Genomic DNA, 19,142 nt, shown 5'->3' with positions numbered 1-19,142 from the left:
AATAAAAAACAGGGTCTAATATAATTAGAAACCTTAAAACTGCAAAATATAAGTTATTTGTGAATCTACAAAAATAAATACATACAAAAAACAGGAGTCAAATCTCTGACCTGTATTTACCTTCTCTTGGTTGTTGTAATAATGATAGCTTAGAAATAGAAGTAAAATGAAAAGTATAATGTTTAGGAGCTGGTACAGTATGACAAGAATACCTTAATATTAGATTAAATTATATAAAATCACCACTTTTGGGGTAAAAAATAGGGTCAGCTATTGTCAATATCTTCTATTTATTTTTATTTTTATTTCTTTAGAGACAGGGTCACACTGTGGCCCAGGCTGGAGTGCCGTGGTACAACCCTGGCTCACTGTAGCCTTGAACTCCTGGCCTCAAGTGATTATCCTGGGCCCCAAAAGTGCTGGGATTACAGGCATGAGTCACGGCAGCCAGCCCCCAGATATTGTCAATTTCATATGATTTGATGTAGTATATTTCAGCTAATTGTAGCTAAATCAAAATACTCACAGTGTCTTGCCTTTATTGCCTTTTAACTATGGCCATAAAAATAAATTGGACAATTTTATTTGTCTTAACCTCTTTTACCTCTCAGACTTTGTGCATAGTAGGTACTAAACAACGTTTTGTTAATTGAGTGGTGTTTTTGGTTATCTTCTCTCAAAAGGCAGGACAAAAATTTGCCACACTATCAAATGCTGAGACTGCCCTTAAAATATAATTACCAAAGTGTTCGCTTCACTTCAGTTTTCATGATTTAGATAAATCCTTTTTGTTCCTTGTTTGGGCAGCACTGGGAAGCTAATTAATACATTATTAATATATTGTAGAGGCAAACAAGACTCTGCTTGCTCACACAGCTATGACAATAATAAATTCAGGTCAGAAATATTTTTTCAATTAAGGGAAAATGTTATTATAATGAGAAGTTATTTTTAAACAACAAGACACAACTCAGTGTCGAAACACGGCAGAGACTTACAAATGAGGTGAATGGCAGAGTCAGGCAAGCCCTCTCCTGATGGTTCCAATCATTTAGGGCCCAATATGGACGTCTAAAGTGCCCTGCAATGAACTCGAAATGATAACCTTTTGGGATCCCAGCAATGAAGAACTTCGTTATTATTCGTCTGCGATTTCATAACAGTTGGGATTGGTGCCAAACTTAGGAGCCAGTACTGAAATAGCTGAGCAGGAGGCATGAAATGGTTTTCAATTCAGAAAATAAAGAGCTCCCTCCCCAGTAGAAGAGATGCGGGAATGTTCAGGGAGGAGCGTGAAAAACCCGTGAGTTATAGTACCTCTTTGGGCCTCAGTTTTTCCACACTTTGTTAACTACCTCTTACAGAATATTCATTCTCTGTAACATCTGTTGTTGCAAGGAAAAATCAGATAATGCCTAAAAATGCTATGCATTTCTTGAGGGGGGAAAAAGCTAGAGCCAGAAAATGTATTATTTTGGTTTTGGTTGACCCAGAGATGTGACAGCAGCCACATTACATAAGAAGAGTTCTAAGAAAGCAGAGTTGTCTTCATTTTTTAAACAGAAGAACCACAATCTCCTTTCTGTTTGGATCCTTATACGAATCAAATATGTGAGCAAGAAAGGGCCTACGAAATCACCAATTTTAACTTTCCCCCTAATGCCATTAATTTTTCTTAGAGATATTTTGAGCATGGAGCATGCACAATTCTGCTCAATTTTTGCCATCTAATGAGATCCCAGCCCCAGGTGCTGTGCTTCTACAATAATGTCTCAATGCTAATTACATTTTAGAACAGTTAGGGCAAGAATAGTTCCAAACATACTTGAAGTAATAACTAGTCATATATCCAGAAGGTCAACAGTTCAATCAAAGAGAGAAAAAAATTAGCATATCTTAAGAAAGAATACAAGTGGTTTTGTACAAGAGCTCTCATTTAAGTCTACAAGTGCACTTAAAATACTGATACAGCTAGGTAATTCTATATTTGCCTTTTTAACTCAGTGAAAGCTCCCAATTTCAGGGTGCAGTGTCTGAGAACGAGAAGCATCTGGCAGGTGAAGGGGAGAGGCGTGTTGTTAGTGAAATTGGCTGGAATTTCAGGTTAGGGGTTTGTGCCAGGACTGTGCTGCATGGAGTTGTAGAGAGGGGGGCTTTGGGCTGCTGATGAAGGAAGAGAAACGATGTTAGAGAGCTTTGCACTGGGCCAGGGCTCTGCGCCAATCCTCTGTTACAGTAACAACACAGCGCTAATCCATGAGCACAGTAAATCCCTCAAATAATTGTGTATCAAATCACTACCAACAAAATTACACTCTGCTGTCATCAATGCAGTTTCCATAAAAATGTCTGATCTTTCCCCCAACTTCTCAGTTTCAAAAATGATTTCTAATGAATACCAAAGAGAAGCAATTGGAAGCTCCACCCATTGCTTTCTATTCTACATGACTGAAGTTACCTTTAGTTTAGAAGTGCATCACATTTTAATTAAAAGATAATAATAATTATTGAGTACTTATTATGTACTTGGCAATAGTTACATGGCTAATAGTGTTAAAGAAGATTCCGAAAAAAAAAATCACCTGCCAAAACCATCAAATAAATCATTTCTGCTCCACTAAAGGTAAAGTATTAAAATAATAAAACAGCTCAAGGATTTGTTTTTAATGTGCTAAAAAAGTGGTACTTTTCTTTCTCCAAGAGCCCCGCACTCTGCACAAGAAGTTCCTTTCAGTAAGGGTGCAATGTGACCTGGCATTGTGTGAAACACAGTCTAAGAACTCGTGATTTCATGGGGGAACTAAGCTGGGAATCTAAGAATGACTTTTATAATTTGAACTATAGGAAAACCTTTAGGAAGAAAATCAAGTTATAATGAAACTTATTCAACTCACTAACTTTTAAATAGGATGGGATCTTTTTACATTCAATTTAAAATATAAAACACTTTAAATGTACAGAAAAGTAAAGAGAATAATAATAACCAACTCATCACTGAGGCTTTTTATGAGTCTAATAGACCCTGTTCCATTTCAGAGGGGTCCTACAGTTGCTCAGGTAGGAATTTTTCCAAATTGAAGACCAACCTCTGGGGACAAAGCCTTTTTGCAGGATGTTTTGGGTCCGTGGAATTCTCTCCTTGATCCTCTGCCATCCTAATTGAGCTGTTCCTTCCATTCACTTCCGTTCACGGAGGTGATGAAGTGCTGTTGGGGGAGGGGGCTGTGGCAGATGCCAGGACCACCGCTGCCTTCAGCAGGTCACAGTCAATCCAGGAAGATCAATGCCCACATAAATAATTCTAACATAAGACTGAGTGCTGGAGAGAAAGAGATTCACTTAATCTGGGGCAGAGCTGGGAAGGGAGGGTGGATTGGGGGTTAGCCCTTGGGGTCAGCTAGGATTTGGGAAGGTGGCGATGAGAGGGATGGGGGAGCTTAAGCAAGAGGGAAGGCCTTAGGTCCAGAATGGTGAGCAGGCAGTCCTCAGAAGAGAGTGTATGCTCTCAGCTAAATGGGTGTGCTTTGGCTGGAAAAAATGTTGAGAGGCCCCTAGCTTGTTGATGGAAGCGTCCGTGCCCCTCCCCATTTTCTAATTTTCTTTTCCAATGATGCTACTGAGCCTTGAATTTTTACATATCATCCAGCTGCTTTTTAAACCCTAAAGTCATATAATACAGTAATAATTTACTTTTGAAGAGCATGTTACAGTTTACAAATTGCTTTTTGATACACGTTATTACATTTGACCCATGTAACAGCCCTGTGACACCCCAGGCTCATCTCCACAAGTTCTTTCCTTTGAAAGTAACTTCTGCTTATAGAAACTGCCAGCTATAGAAGTCAGAAAAACATTTCCAATAGCAGTCTTATTGTGTTAGAAGCAGAAGCTGGAATAAAGTCAGCAATCTGGGAGAGACAAAGGAGAGGGCACCAGCATAGACAGAGACTGAGAGTCCCGAGAGGATGACACGATTGTGGCTTTGGAAATGCAGAGTGATGCAGAAGAAAAAGAAGAAAGAGTGTGCTGCAGAAAGCAGAAGGTGGAGCAAGGAACAGGGTGGTGGCTGGCTCCAGGGCAGGGAGCCAGTGTGGGGTCAATGCCTGCTCAACCACAAGTGGGGCTGGGTGTTTACCTTGAGCAGTGCCCCGTGAAACACAACTCAAAAATAAAAAAGGGTGGCTTTCAGAACATGGGGATAGAATAAAATGATTTTATTTATTTATTTCTTTTTTTTCTTTTCTTTTTTTTTTTTTTTTTGAGATGGAGTCTGACTCTGTCGCCCAGGCTGGAGTGTAGTGGTGTGATCTTGGCTCACTGCAGCCTCTGCCTCCCGGGTTCAAGTGATTCTCCCACCTCGGCCTCCTGAGTAGCTGGGATTACAGGCACCCACCACCACATCCAGCTAATTTTTGTATTTTTAGTAGAGATGGGGTTTCACCATGTTGGCCAGGCTGGTCTTCAACTCCAGACTTCGAGTGATCCACCTGCCTCAGCCTCCCAGAGTGCTGGGATTACAGGTGTGAGCCACCGTGCCTGGCCTAAAATGAATATTTTTTTTTATAAGGTTGTGGGGCAAAAGACCATTTCAAGATCTGGGAAGGCAGAAATGCTCATTTCATTTGACGTACGTACGTTCTGTCGCATCCCACAATACCTCATCTGTTGTAACTTTGATAAACTGTTTTTCAGATCGAGTACGAAAGTGGTGCACTTTTGCGACTACTTTATAGAAGCAAAAACAACCAGGACACCATTTTCTGGTTGCAATCTAGTTGGAATAAATCTCACTGATGTTGGATGCATCAACATATCCACTTAGCCTGCTGTAAATCAGTTTACTTTTCTACTTAGAGACATGATGTGAAATGAGATTAATCCAGCTACAGCAAAGTGAGTGAATTCAGTTGAGTAAATCCTTTCCATGGAAAAGAACTTTGTTTTGCAGCTCATTCGAAATGAAAAATCCACAGGACAGTATGATGCCTTCTCTAGAACTGAACAAATGCATTTATCCTAGTTTTATTTAGAGCTAAATTCACATTAGAGCTATCCCATTTGATGGTGTACTCTATTGTTCTTAGGTGAGGGTCACAGTGAAAGCGTTTGCTGAACAACCAAAATGTTTTGGTGGAATTTAGCCTAAGGACTAGTGCTCCAACTAGACTATAAGTGCAGAGAAGATTGACAACTCCTTGGAGAGAGAGGAGAGAGACTAATAAAAACCAACAAAACTGTGTATATTCTTTTATATTCCTCCTCCTTTGTGTTCCATGGCAAAAGGGCAGTCTGCACACAGCTTTTATTTAACAAATACATACTTGGTGGTAACTATTTCAAGCAGGCAAGGCTTGGAGCAGGTCCAGAGGATAATGAGGGGATTAAAAGGTCAGGGAGAGACTCTCAGGGCAACAGACTAATGGAATTGAGATGCTTTAGCCTGGAAAAGGGGTGGCTGTGCTTGGCAGTTGCAGACGGCAGTTTGTGTTCTTTATCATTACTGAATGATAGAAATCACACTGTGTGCAGGGTGGGATGAAAGACACTCGCTTTACATCCCAGGAAGAGGTGTTTAGGGTTAGAAATGGGGAAGAAGCTGTGACTTCGATGGATTATAAGGCACCCACTGGTCTTTAAGAAATCTTTCTCTGAAAATGTTAAAGTTGAAGCGTAGATAATCTTTCTGAAATGATTTAGGTGCACGCTGCAGTAGGGGAATGACCCAGAGGACCTCTCGAGTTCTGTTCCATTTCTTATCCCGTGATTTTTCAGTGGCCACTGTCACTGGCCTACTTCTGGCTTACTTCTGGTCTACCTTTCTCCATAGCTGGGAGCCCTTGACCCCTTCTTGCAAGTCAACCATGCTGTAGACTCAGCACTAAGCCCCTTCTCAGTTGGGAGGGATTTAAGAAGCTCACTCTAGTTGAACACTTGGCTGACTCAGCATCGGTCATGCCTGCTGCTGGCCTGGCTCTGAGGCGCCCCAGTTCTAGCAAGCAGGATTCTGCCTTGTTCCTGAGTCTTCATCTTACTGGATTTACCTGAAATCTGCCTGTGTACTCCTATGCTAATACTTGAAATCCTTTCTTGTTTTCCATGTCTAACACGATTTTGAGATCATACCTGGTATCCACTCTAGAACTGAAGCCTTCTCTCTCTCTATTTCTCCCACACCTCCTTCCACCCCTCCTGGGGCTCATACCTGGTGTCCAGTCCCTGAACATCAGCCCTGTCCTCTTTTTTTTTTTTTTTTTTTGAGATGGAGTCTTGCTCTGTCACCCAGGCTGTAGTGCAGTGGTGCAATCTCTGCTCACTGCAACCTCCAGCTCCTAGGTATAAGCGATTCTCCCACCTCAGCCACCCGAGTAGCTGGGATTACAGGCGCCCGCCACCATGCCTAGCTAATTTTTGTATTTTTAGTAGAGACGGGGTTTCACCATGTTGGCCAGGCTGGTCTCGAACTCCTGACCTCAGATGATCCACCCGCCTCGGACACCCAAAGTGCTGGGATTACAGGTGTGAGCCACCGTGACCGGCCTTTTAGCCCTGTCCTCTAGAGCTCACTGCCTTTGTGCACGGAGTACCAGTTAGCATTGGTCCTAGATGTCTCCTTTCATCTGTGGCTGGATTTTCCATTCCCTGCCACTCACAACCCCACCACCATCACTCCGGCCACTGCTGGTCTATTTGTTCTTTGCCTGGTCATATAGTGACATGCCACGTGACTCTATTTTCCTGTGGCATTCTATGGTTTATGGTCGCACATCTGAGTCTTTATAAATCATATACTGGTGTTTTCCAACCTTGTCACTATTGACATTTGGGGCCAGTTAAGTCCTTGTTGTGGGGGCCCATCCTGTGCATTGTAGGATTCTCAGCAGCATCCCTAGCTTCTACCCACCAGTAGGACCTCTCCCTGCAAACTGTGACAAAAAATGTTTCCTGGCATTGCCAAATGTCCCTGGTGGGAGTGGGGGAGAACCCCTGCTCCACAAGAACCCAGAAAGGCAAGAGTACTTTTTTTCCAGAGACAAGGTCTCACTATGTCACCCAGGCTGGATGGAGTACAGTATCTCAGTCATATCTCATTACAACTTCAAACTCCTGGGCTCAAGTGATCCTCCTGCCTCAGCCTCCTGTAGCTAGGACTACAGGCATGCATCACCATCCCTGGCTAATTTTTAATTTTTTGTAGAGATGTGATCTCGCTATGTTGCCCAGGCTGGCCTCAAACTCCTGAGCTCAAGCAATCCTCCCACCCTGGCCTCCCAAAGGGTTGGGATTACAGGCGTGAGCCACCATGCCTGGTCAACAAGAGTATTTTAAAGCCAGTTACATACACTGAGAAATAGCTGAATATATAAACAGAACATTTGAATCTGGTAACATTTTAACTAAGGACTCTAACCTTTTAATAAACACCAAATGGAAGTTTGTAAGTTTTGTATTACAACATAAGGTCTACAGCGGGTAAAATGGGAGTGAAAATCCCTTCACTCTAGATCTGTTCTTCTCAGATTTTACTGTGCATAAGAATCACCAGGGGAATTTTTTCACAGTTTAGATTCTGATTCAATAGGTTTGAGGCAGGGTCTGAGATCCTCACTTCTAACAGGCTCCCCGGCGGTGCCGTTGCTGCTGGTCCTAGGATCACACTCTGCTACGAGTGCCCAGGCCCTGGATTAAAAATCACGTGAAAGGTTGGGGAGGGGCTACTGGAAAATTAATAATTATAGGGTCACAAGAGCAACATCACAATGTGCATTAGAATGGCAGACTAGAAAAATTTGGATGTTCCCTGCACCTGTCTATAAGGAACAAAAAAACTGCTCTCAGGGATGTGTTTTGAAATATGACATTTCTATGAGCTTGAAATGATAAATATTATACAAGTTACCTGTGAGCTCTCTGCGCTGGCCAGGGATGAAAATCTATGAACTTCTAAGCTAGCTTGGTAAGTCTTTTAAAGGTTTCCAAAAGTCTGACGGAAACCTAAACTATAAGATCTTTGTAGTCCCGTATTACAAACAGAAGAGGGTAGAGTTGAGGATGGGGCTGGGGGAGGTGATGGAGGGAAGAGAGTCATTTTAAATGAGTCTTGCAGATATGCTTTATGGCACTTGCTCACATTACAAATAATGTGTAAAATGATACTGACCATCACGTGATGTTACTACAACCAAAAATCAGATAAACCAGTTATATTTTTAAAATAACTGCAAAAATGAAGTCATTAACTTTCACACGTAGTGATCAGGATAATCAAGTCTTCTGAAAGCTGCTGAGAGCCTGAAATAAACTTTTTCTCTCCTCATCTAATGCTGCCTCTGAGTGACATTTCCTTAGGGTTTTGCAGACATCGAACTCATTGTCGCATATCCTCACCGCAAGGAGGAAATGGCCATTCACACTTATTCCTATCTTACTTAGGAAGATTGAGGCCCACTAGTTTGTCTAAGGATGCAGATTCATCCACGGTTGCAGAGAATTTATGGATAGGAAAGAGACAATGAAGTTCTGGCCCTTTAGAGGCCAGAGATCCATCATGAGATTAGCTGCACCAGCAGGTAAGTACTCACCTGCAGGGAGGGGAAGCTAATACCCTAGCTCTGAAAGATTTGGACAAGTTGTTATCAAAATGATCGAGTGAAATAGAAATAAATGTCTTTACATTTAAACCTCTGTCCTAGGGTTTTTTTTTTTTTTTAAATCAACAGTGTAAGTACAGAATAAGAAAGATCTGGCTGGGCATGGTGGCTCATGCCTGTAATCCCAGCACTTTGCGAGGCCGAGGCAGGCGGATCACAATGTCAGGAGTTCAAGACCAGCCTGACCAACATGGTGAAACCCCGTCTCTACTAAAAATACAAAAATTAGCCGGGCGTGGTGGCGGGCGCCTGTAATCCCAGCTACTCGGGAGGCTGAGGCAGGAGAATCACTTGAACTCACGAGGCAGAGGTTGCAGTGAGCCGAGATTGCGCCACTGCACTCCAGCCTGGGCGACAGAGCGAGACTTGGTCTCAAAAAAAAAGAAAAAAAGAAAAGAAAAAGAAAGAAAGATCTGGCTTAGTAGTAGTGCATGGGAACTCATGGGTTTTAGTTGACCACAATTTCGATATGAGTCAGCAGTGTGACATGGGTGCCAAAAGGGCTCATGCAATCATGGGCCATATTAATAGAAGTATAGGCTACAGATCAAGGGAGGCAACTACCCCATGGTGTTCTGCATCCTCAGATCACTCCTGGAGAGCGTTGCTCCGTTCTGAGTCCCGTGACTTAGGGGAGGCCCTAAGCTAGAGTCCAATCAGAGGCGGGTGCTTAAAATAATGGCAGCACGCAAAACTGCCTCATAGGAGGAGTGGTTACAAGAACTAAGGATATTTATGCTTGAAAAAGAAGACTTTGAGGGACATGATTGGAAGCAGGGGAAGAGCAGGCTATCTGGGAAAAGATCTTGAGGTAATTTCCAGTGGCAGAAGTTTAGTTTCTGGATTCCCCATGGAAACTTCACATGGCTCTTCTGACTCTTTGTTGTTTGCAAAATAAACAGATCTTCAGCAAAGAAGACCCTGTTTCTCCTATGATTTCCTTGAAGTGTAAAGCTTTGTGGATGCATTGATGCCTGCTTGCTAAACCATCTCTCTCAGCCTACAGATGCACCTCCTTCAAGAAGTTCTTTCTAAAAATCTCCATCTTGAGCTGTTTTTTAATCTCCTCATCAGTTTTGCATTGTGGTACCATTTTTTTGTTTGTTTGTTTTTCCTAGTTTCCCAAATACACTGTTCATTCCTTAGGGGAAAGGACCCAATGTTTTTTTTGCTTTTATTTCCCAAAGTGTTCTCAGTACGTCTGCATACCTGTGAGCTAGGGACTGAGTGAATTTCTGCAGACAGTAGCCAAAAGATGAATTAAAGTAATCAGACAGGTAATTTTTACAGCATCTACAAGACGAAGCATTACAGCATGCTTTCTTGATAATAATAACACCTAATTGACCCTTCACTTTATGAAATAATATGATCTGACAAAGTAGGCTGTATCATAAATCTCCCTTACGTCTTACATTTAAAAATGGAAGTTGTGGATCTTTGCTGGAGAAAAAGTCTGCTCTCTAAAAGCTCCATCTTTTTTGTTCCAGGTATTGGGAATTTCTTTTCAGCTAGGGGATTCCTTGACTTCACACTTTCTCCTTCTTTGATTATTTGGATACTTACAGGGTACCAAGTGTCAACTCATAAAATCTTATAGTACCCGGTTTATAAAATGAATTAGTAGTCTATTTAAAAATATTGATCTAGAAAATAAAAATTCCACAAAATGAGTTTGTTTACACAAGAAAGCACCATGTTCTGCATTGTACAAATGAGATATTGTTGGGGGTAGCCACACATGAATCTTCAAAAGTCTCTTGTATAGTGGGTTAAAGAATGGCATAATTTCACTCGAGGACAGAGGAGTCGATGAGGCACAGTGAGTCATCTGTGAGGCTGAGCACAGAACACAGGATACGGGAGCCAAGCTCATGCTCTGTCACTCTCATCACTGGTCAGTATAACCTCCCACAGTCCAGTGACCTGACACGGTACCGAGCAGATGATACTGTCTGCAACAAGTTGATCTAACTCCACTTGCCAGCCTGAAGTTCACTTAGAAAATTTGAAGCACAAAAAGACTGAGACACAGGGGCCCAATTTCCTATCAACACCTGTTAATCACAAATATTAGCACTTAGCTTGGATGACTCCAAAGGCCAAGGGAGAGTGGTGATGTCCTCCCCTAGTCTCAGGACTTCTGCATTCACAGCTGCAGGCCCTCTTGTGAGTCTCCAACTTCCAAGAACAATTCTGGGACATTAAAGGATATAACTGTTCGTAATAAAAAATCAAGGAGAAGGTTTTGTACCCTTTGAAAGGCATAACCTCTTTAGAAGGATAAGGATCTATCAGCCCAAAATAAGCCCATCAGCATTATTTACTTCCATATGACTCCCTGAACTACCCAAGAGGGGTAATAAAATCTCATGGGATGTCTGCCCATTGCAGAGCACAGGGTTGGAGTATAATTGATGTGGACAGTCAGCCCTGCAGCAAGTGAGGCAGCCAGCGGCATGACACCCAAGCAGCCCACAAAGGCACTATTGAGATGTTTGTAGTTTCTAATGGGATTTGGACATTGCAAGGGAATCCGTTAAGAATTGGATGCCAGCTCTTATGCCCTACAGGGAAGGGTGAAGGGTCTTGCCATCTATGGCAGAAAAGGTCATTTCCCTCTGTTCCCAGACCCAGTGGGATTAGGTGGTTTTCTGCAGAAAATCAAAGGGCTTCAGAGAACACACAGTCTAACCTCTCACTTGACTAAGGAAGAAACTGAAGCTCAGGGAAGTTAGGTGACTTGTTTAAGATCACGTGGGTAGCTCTGGTAGAGCCAGAATTCAGCTTTCCAGAAGCCCATCGAGGGCTCCTGCATCTCCAGAATCCTGTGTTTGGACCAGTGTTGTGGAAGGGGCCCAGCCTACAGCGTGACAGGCTTGGTGCTACGTCCCGGCAGACATTAGCAAATTACCTTGAGCAAGTCCCGGAAACTCTCCAAGCCTTGCTTTTCCCACTCTGCAGAATGAGAGGTAAAATCTGTGGTCTGTCTACCTCAAAGATCATAGCCAGATCAAACAAGATAATGGCAACTCTTTTTATTTACTTATTTATTTTTTGAGACAGGATCTCACTCTGTTGCCCAGGCTGGAGTGTAGCGGTGTGAACACGGCTTACTGCAGCCTTGATCTCTTGGGCTCAAGGGATCCTCCTGCCTCAGCCTCTGGAGTAACTTGGACTACAGGTGCGGGCCACTGGGCCTGGCTAATTTTTTAAAAGAATATCTTGTAGAGATGGGGCCTCACCATGTTGCCCAGGCTGGTCTCAATCTCCTGCGCTCAAGCAATCCTCCCACCTTGTCCTCCCAAAGTCAATGAGCCTGTACGACAACTCTTTTTAAAGCTCCATCAGGATCAGTGTACAATAACTCTAGAGAAAGACAATTTTTCCTATTCAGGATATATGGGTGGACACCAGGTGATTTATGATGGATGGACACCAGAATTTCCCACGGAAATTCTGTACAAAGTTGCGTAGGATAAGTGCTAGGCATCGTTGGTTTTTTTTCCCCATTGGGGAGAGTTTTCATAGTTTTCGTTGACATCTTGAATGTGTCTGTGACACTCCCCTTCCCCCACCCACCCCACCACTGCCAGTAAGAACCTATGTGCTATGGATATCAGCGTATTTATGGTCAACTTAAAGTACTGATATAAGGTATTAGATTTAGACAATTTTCTTAGTTGTCTCAATGTTTGGTTGAGATTCTCCTGTTATTCTTACCGATTTAATGATCTATATTTTCAAACAAATCTATTTAGCGGAGGAGAGCCTTTTCAGCTATCAGACTTTACATTTTGTTTTATAAAGGGTTAAACTGTGTGACCTATAAAATGATGAAGAGAAATTTCAAATTACAAGTCAGCCAGGCTTTCCACCCCACTTTGTACTTCCCTTGTAATATTTCCTAGTTATTTAGAAAGAGTTTCTTTAAAATCATATTTAACAAGAGAACTATCTACTTATTATTTACTGAGTTCCTACTGAGTTCTCAGCAGTTTGTTTCTAATATTTTCCCATAAAGCACTAGACAAAAAACACAAATCATGAACCATTTGTAGGCCGACACATTAAGCCCGTGGTTCTAGAAGGCTGGGGGGTGTGGAGAAAAACAAACGAAGAAGTATTATTCATGACCAATTGATCAATTAGGCTGCTTTTCATTAAAAAACATAAAAAGGCAGAACCAATTTGGCAATGACTGTGTTGGAAATGCAAAAAGAACCATTATTAATGCTGGATTTTTTTTTTCTTATTTATTTTTAGTTCTCTTTAGAAAATTACACTTGAGAGCTTTCTGTAATGGCCACTGAAGGAGTGGATAAGATTCAACTCAGCAGTCGAACCCTTTTGTAATGCTAATGAAGGAGCATGGACCAACACCTAGTTTATACAGCTTTTTCTCAATACAGTTTCAGAAGCCACAGGCTGACTTATGGAATATCTGAGTGTATGAGATAACCAACCAGGGAATTTACCTACTAACAACAGTCATCCATCGTCTCTTAAGGAAATCCACCATGGCCTTTTATAAATCTGACAATGGCTTATACTCTTGCGTTTTATGGTAAAATCTTATATAGTACAGAAATGTGAAAAATGAGAGGAAATTTCTCCCTCCTGATTATATCAAAATATCATCTTCCACCCCGAGGCTCTGAGGTCCCAGGTCTCATAACTCCCCGCTTGTATTGTTCCTTTCAGGGATTTTTTCCCCCCATTACTTCATAGTTCTCCTACTCTTTTCTGTTCCAAGTATTTTATGTTCAAGGTTTCTTGTACAGAGCCTTAAGCTATGTAAATGTAATAAGAGTACTTATCTGGGCTTAGTGGAATGCTGTTCTTATTCAGATGAATTAAACCTTAAATGTGTTTGGGTGGCAACCTCCCGGATTTTCAATAACTTCAAGTCTGAGTGTGTGTGAGGGCTACTTCCACTCAGCTCCACTTGTATCACTCCTCACTGCATGTGCCCATCATCAGAGAGAGTGCTCAGGAACCAGACAGCCTGGGTTCAAATCCTGGCTCCACCAGGTACTAGTTAAGTGACCTTGTGCAACGTACTAGACCTCTCCGTACCTCAGTTTCCTCATTGTGAAAAAAGGGTATTATTAGCACTTTCTTCATTGCACCATTAGAAGAAGTAGACGAGTTAGTACCTACAAAGTATTAGAACAATGCTTGGCAAATAACAATAATAACAGGCACTGTTTTAGGAACCTTAAATGTATAAATCGTTTACTCTTCAGAACAATCCCACGAGATAGGCACCATTAGTAATCCCATTTTATAGCTTAAGAAACTGAAGCACAAAAAGAATAACTCGTCCCAGTTCATTCGCTTAGTAAGTGAAAGACTGGGCTCACACCGAGGCTGTCTTGGCTCCACAGCAAGCACTCAATAAACATTACCTACTATTATTATTATTACCTGAACTTATGCACTCAATAAATATTTCCAGCCACTATTGCTGCTGATAATGATGAATTTGCATGTCGAGTCCATCTTCAAAGCGTATTAAAAATATATATGAACTCCAATGAAATAATCAATTTAGGCAAAGATTATTACCTAAAGTCACCGGGTGAGAGTTTGTTGGGAAATAGGATATTGCCACCATGCCAAAGTGTTTATGAGATACACTTTGAGATACCCCCTGAGAGTACTCGCTAATTGCAAAGGGTGAAAAAGTGCCTGTACAACAAGAGATCCTCTGAGCAAGATCACTACCTCAAGCCCTGATCAAACTTGGCATCATGCACAGTGGAACAACCTGGCATTCTGTACCTCCTGATAAGATGCAATATGGAGCACCCAGTGGCACCTTGCAAAAAACGTTCAATCAAAATCAAATCATGCTTTTAGTCCTAACTTGGAGCTTATGAGAAATAAAGTGGGTAGAGGAACAAATTAACCATGAGGCAACAACGAATTCAGAAAGTGGGACCTGGTACAAGAGAACTGGCGTAATCTTTAAAAACATCCAATGTTGAAGAAAGAAGCATGAGACCCAACTGCAAAATATGTTCTTATTTTTAAAAATTAGATTCTTTTTTTAAAAAATGGTATAGAAGACATTTGGGGGACAAATGGGGAAGGTTAAATCTGCACTAGCTATCAGATGATATTAAGGACTTACTGTTTATCCTCTTAGGCCTAATGATGGAATTGTGGTTAGATAGAGGAATGCCTTTATTCTTAGATGAGTACTGAATTATTTAGGAGTGAAGTATTATTTTATCTGCAACTTACAAGTAATTCAGAAAGAAATAGGTATAGATGGAGCAAATACGGCAAAGAGTTAGCAATTGTTGAACCTAGGTAGTGAGTACTAATATTTCAACTTTTCTTTATGTTTTATGTTCAGTTATTTTCTCACTATCTTTTCTTTTCTTTTCTTTTTTCCTCTTTTTGAGACAGGATCTTGCTCTGTCGACCAGGCTGGAGTGCAGTGGCACGATCTCAGCTCGCTGAAACATCTGCCTCCCGGGTTCAAGCAATTCTCGTGCCTCAGTCTCCCAAGTAGCTGGGATTACAGGCGCCTGCCATCATGCCCGGCTAATTTTTGTATTTTGGTAGAGACAGGGTTTCAACATGTTGGCCAGGCTTGTCTCCAACTCCTGACCTCAGATGATCTGCCTGCTTTGGCCGCCCAAGTGCTGGGATTACAGGTGTGAGCCACTGTGCCCGGCTGTTCTTCACTATCTCCTTAAGGTATGTCTTAACATTTTCTTTGGAGAGTATATAAGACTTTTATCATCATGCACTTCGTGATAGTTTCTTTTAATTCTCTAAAATTTTTGTTTATAAATACATATTTAAAAAGAAAACAATCTTTAAAAATTATTTACTGAATTCCTACTGACTCAAGTTTATTGAAACTTAATGTTAACACTGTTGAAGAGGACTTGGTGCCTAGTGCCAGGCCTGGCATATAGTAATTGATCGATAAATGTTTGTAAAATGCTTATTTGTTAAACAGGACCATGCTTTCTTAAGAATTTTTAAGAGAAAAGAAAGGGCAGGCCAGGTGTAGTGGTTCACACCTGTAATCCCAACACTTTGGGAGGCTGAGGCAGGCGAATCGCTTGAGTTCAGGAGTTCAAGACCAGCCTGGGAAACATGGCAAAACCCTGTCTCTACTAAAAATACAATATTAGCCAGGTGTGGTGGTGTGTACCTGTAGTCTCAGCTACTTGAGAGGCTGAGGTGGGAGGATCACTAAACCCAGGGTAGTTGAGGCTGCAGTGAGCTGTGATTGTGCCACTGTACTCCAGCCTGAGTGACAGAGTGAGACCCTGTCTCAAAAAAAAAAAAAAAAAAAAGACTCATGAGGCTGTGTTATTATCATTATTATTATTTATTTTTGGAGATCTGCCCACCTCGGCCTCCCAAAGTGCTAGGATTATAAGCATGAGCCACCGCGCCCAGCCAAGGCTGTGCTATTTCTTTACAGACCAAGGTATGCTGGGCAAATACCTCAAATGGACAAAATGGGGACCTAGCGACCCTATTGTTTGATTCAAACAACTTATAAAGATTCTTTAACAAGTTTTGAGTTTGTTTGATAGGGGCACAAAAATGAATCATCTGCCCCCAGGATTATCCAGCAGCAACTGTTACTTATTTAAGAAATCGTGATGGAATCACACTTACTGACACATTTTCGAACAATTGCAGACTTTTCTTGACCCAGGAAAAAAGGGCAAGTTCTACTCAAGCTTAGGCATGAACCCTGTCAGTCATCAACACCAGTGGGTGTTATTATCTGGGAATCAATAAATATGTTGGAACTAGGATCATTTTCAGCTCTTCTAGGAAGCAATAGTTCTAAAAGAGATGGCTTCAGGAAATAAGTGAGAGACATTTTGTATAAGAAGTGGGAAGAAAATGATCAAGAGTCAAAGAAACAACTAATCATGATATCGCCTTGCATTTTTATAGAGCCTTTTTCCTAAGGCACTTCATATCTATGTTAACTCATTTATTCTTACAACATCCCTACGAGGTAGACAGAACAATTGAAAGGGATTTTCACCAGGGCCTAAGATGTGGGAGATATTCAAAAGGATATTGTATTAGCAACAGAGATATTTCTTCATATTGAATAGATTGATCATCTCCTTCTCCTCTGCTTCAGTAAAGTCATTTTTAAAAAGATAAAATCTATTACAATTTGGGGAGAATAAGATTTCAGTTTACCACATGGGAGACACTCCAAGTTCAATCTAAAAAAGCAGTTTTATTCAATAATATAGGGCCACCTCTCTTTTACAAAAAAACAAAAAAGGGTATGAGTCAGATTTTTTTCGTATTTGAAAATTAAATATACTTAGGTGGTCCTCTATTTACACAGTGTTCCTTATTTAATAGCAGATGGTTTTGTAAAGAGAATCACTATAAAATTATTCTATAAAGTTTTACATAAAATACTGGATTGTTAAAGGAGAGTAACTTCTGCTAAATACTCTTTCCGAAACCAAAAATAAGAAACAAAAAGGAGCCACTAAAGAACTAAACCGTTTATGACAAACATTGCTGCATAGAACAAAAGATTCTGCGACCTGAAGTTTCCCATCCTCAGATAACATAACGAGAACACACGAAATTTTTCCCATTGGATGTTTAGATCTAAAACACTTCCCACTCCTAGTTTATCTAGGGATGTGTATGTTCAATAGTGTGCAAATTATGCTGCATACACTTTATTAAGAAGGCCTAATTCCAGGTAGATAAATACGGTAAATTTTTTTTGACAGTATACCTGTCAGGGCAATACAGTACATTTTAAATTAGTGAAACCTTTGGTTGGTATGTTCAATCCTCACGTTCAGGAAGAGTTGGGACAAAGAACACAAAGCAGCTATCTTCAGACTGGACGCCTAAACCAGAGACAGTCATAGGGATGGAGCCTAACGGCTAGTACGAAGAGAGACAATACCCTTCCAAAATACACTTCAACATAAAGTTTTCTTTTCGTAAAGGAATGAAAACTGGTGTCCTTTGTACAGGTAACAAAAATGCGAACAGAACTAGAAATTCAAGCAAAGAGAGAAATCCTGACCTCAGAGTGCTAGTGTTCATTCATCACTGCTCAGCCCTCTACCACCCCCTCCAATCCCTTCCAATTTGGATTAAATTCTGACCATGGTGAAGTGGAATTTTACCTCCATGATCCCAAGGTCGAAAATCTTTCCCTGAGATGCTTCTGAAGCCAGTTTGTGGAGATTTTTGTGTTATGGACTGGGTAAGGAACAAGTGTTCTCCCAGTTCATTTGATAGAAGTCAAATCCCATCACCACAAACATTGTCACAGCAAAAGGTTTAGAGACCTTAGCTGATGGGACTTAAAAGCAATATTTAGAGAACTAGTGAGATTCATTTTAATTAACTCATACAGAACATTCTGCAAATTATAAAACTGTTCAAAGTTTCTAGAGTATATGTACAGATGTTGTATAATGACATACCTTTTGGAAGAGAAGGGGTTGAGTTTATGTCTTGGCTTTGACACCGAGTTATTAGAATCCTTTCTGGCAAGAAGGGAGACAAATTCAAGCATCAGAGTTACTGCATTTCAGAGTATGGATCCACTTTGTGCTGTCTTCCATGTACCACTCTGAAAGAGGGTGCAAGTTTACAGATCCATTAACTGTGCCTCCTCCTCCCCACCTCTTACTCCCTCCTCCAAACTAACCCTAGTCAGCCCTGCAGTCTGTAGGCAAACCACACAGGAACTAGCACATATGGGGCTTCGGAGAGTTGGGCGTGAGCCTTAGATTATGTGGTTTTGTTTTCTTGCTGCCAGAGTTGAACTAAAATGCAGGAGGTTCACTGAAACACTTTTGCTTCTTTATGCTTGGTTTCAGTTTTAACAATATCCCCCCTGAACACTTGTGTTCACATAAGAAAATTTATAGTTCTTGATATGGTCCATCAGCAAGCTGATCTTAAGGAAAACTCTTATTCTCTTAGTATAATCATGCATCCAGAGGAACATTAGGGCTTCTTGGGGGAACTTATTTAAGAGCACCCTCGATCACTCACAATGTTAAAATCCCAGGAAAGATGCTTTGTTCATACACTCAGCCTCTAATATTACTCTTGACAAAAAAAGAAGAAACATTCTGAGCTGGGATGCATTCTCACCCCAGGTTTGCCACAGTCCAGCATGAGGTGGAACCAGTTCCTTCAATTTCTGGGACTTCAATTTCTGTTGAGTCTTAGACTGAAGGCTTTCTGGGATTTAAGACTTTCCATTGACCTTGAGTTTTGTTACCTTCAACTTCCTTAGTTCTTACCTTTAAATGTACCACTCACCCTTCCCCCTATATCAACTGCAACTTGTGAAGGCCTCTTCCTTTCTCTTTGCTCTTGCTAGAAAATGGATTGCCAACGTTGCATCTTTTACAGAAAATTAGAGACATTGCTACTTGCTAAGTGGCACCATTCAGAGTTTGGGGACTGGATCCAAGATGAGGAGGGAAATGTTGG

At 41.2% G+C, this 19,142-nt stretch overlaps 1 protein-coding gene across 4 annotated transcripts in view, besides 1 other annotated feature; it reads right to left on the bottom strand.

The window, feature by feature from the left end:
* Positions 1-19,142, bottom strand: part of GRAP2 (GRB2 related adaptor protein 2) — a 79,902-nt gene that overhangs the window by 54,273 nt on the left and 6,487 nt on the right. For 3 of the 4 annotated variants that reach the window (XR_007067995.1, NM_004810.4, XM_047441608.1), the window contains exon 1: positions 18,119-18,365. The exons of the other annotated variant lie outside the window; for it this stretch is intronic. Coding sequence is in view for 1 of the 3 variants with exons in the window: in XM_047441608.1 (XP_047297564.1) it covers positions 18,119-18,210 (92 nt within the window). In the remaining 2 variants the exon portion in view is untranslated. Of the gene's footprint in view, positions 1-18,118; positions 18,366-19,142 lie in introns of those variants that run through there. 4 annotated transcript variants of the gene reach the window in all.
* Positions 8,958-9,267: an enhancer, noted in NCBI's record as "active region_19074". NCBI's record gives its function as "activates an Ori minimal core promoter by ATAC-STARR-seq in GM12878 lymphoblastoid cells {active_cell/tissue: GM12878}" and the evidence as "EXISTENCE:reporter gene assay evidence [ECO:0000049][PMID:35858748]".

This window comes from Homo sapiens, chromosome 22 (assembly GCF_000001405.40).
Source record: "Homo sapiens chromosome 22, GRCh38.p14 Primary Assembly".
NCBI classification, from domain to species: domain Eukaryota; kingdom Metazoa; phylum Chordata; class Mammalia; order Primates; family Hominidae; genus Homo; species Homo sapiens.
This window is presented reverse-complemented; position numbering and strand designations above follow the sequence as displayed.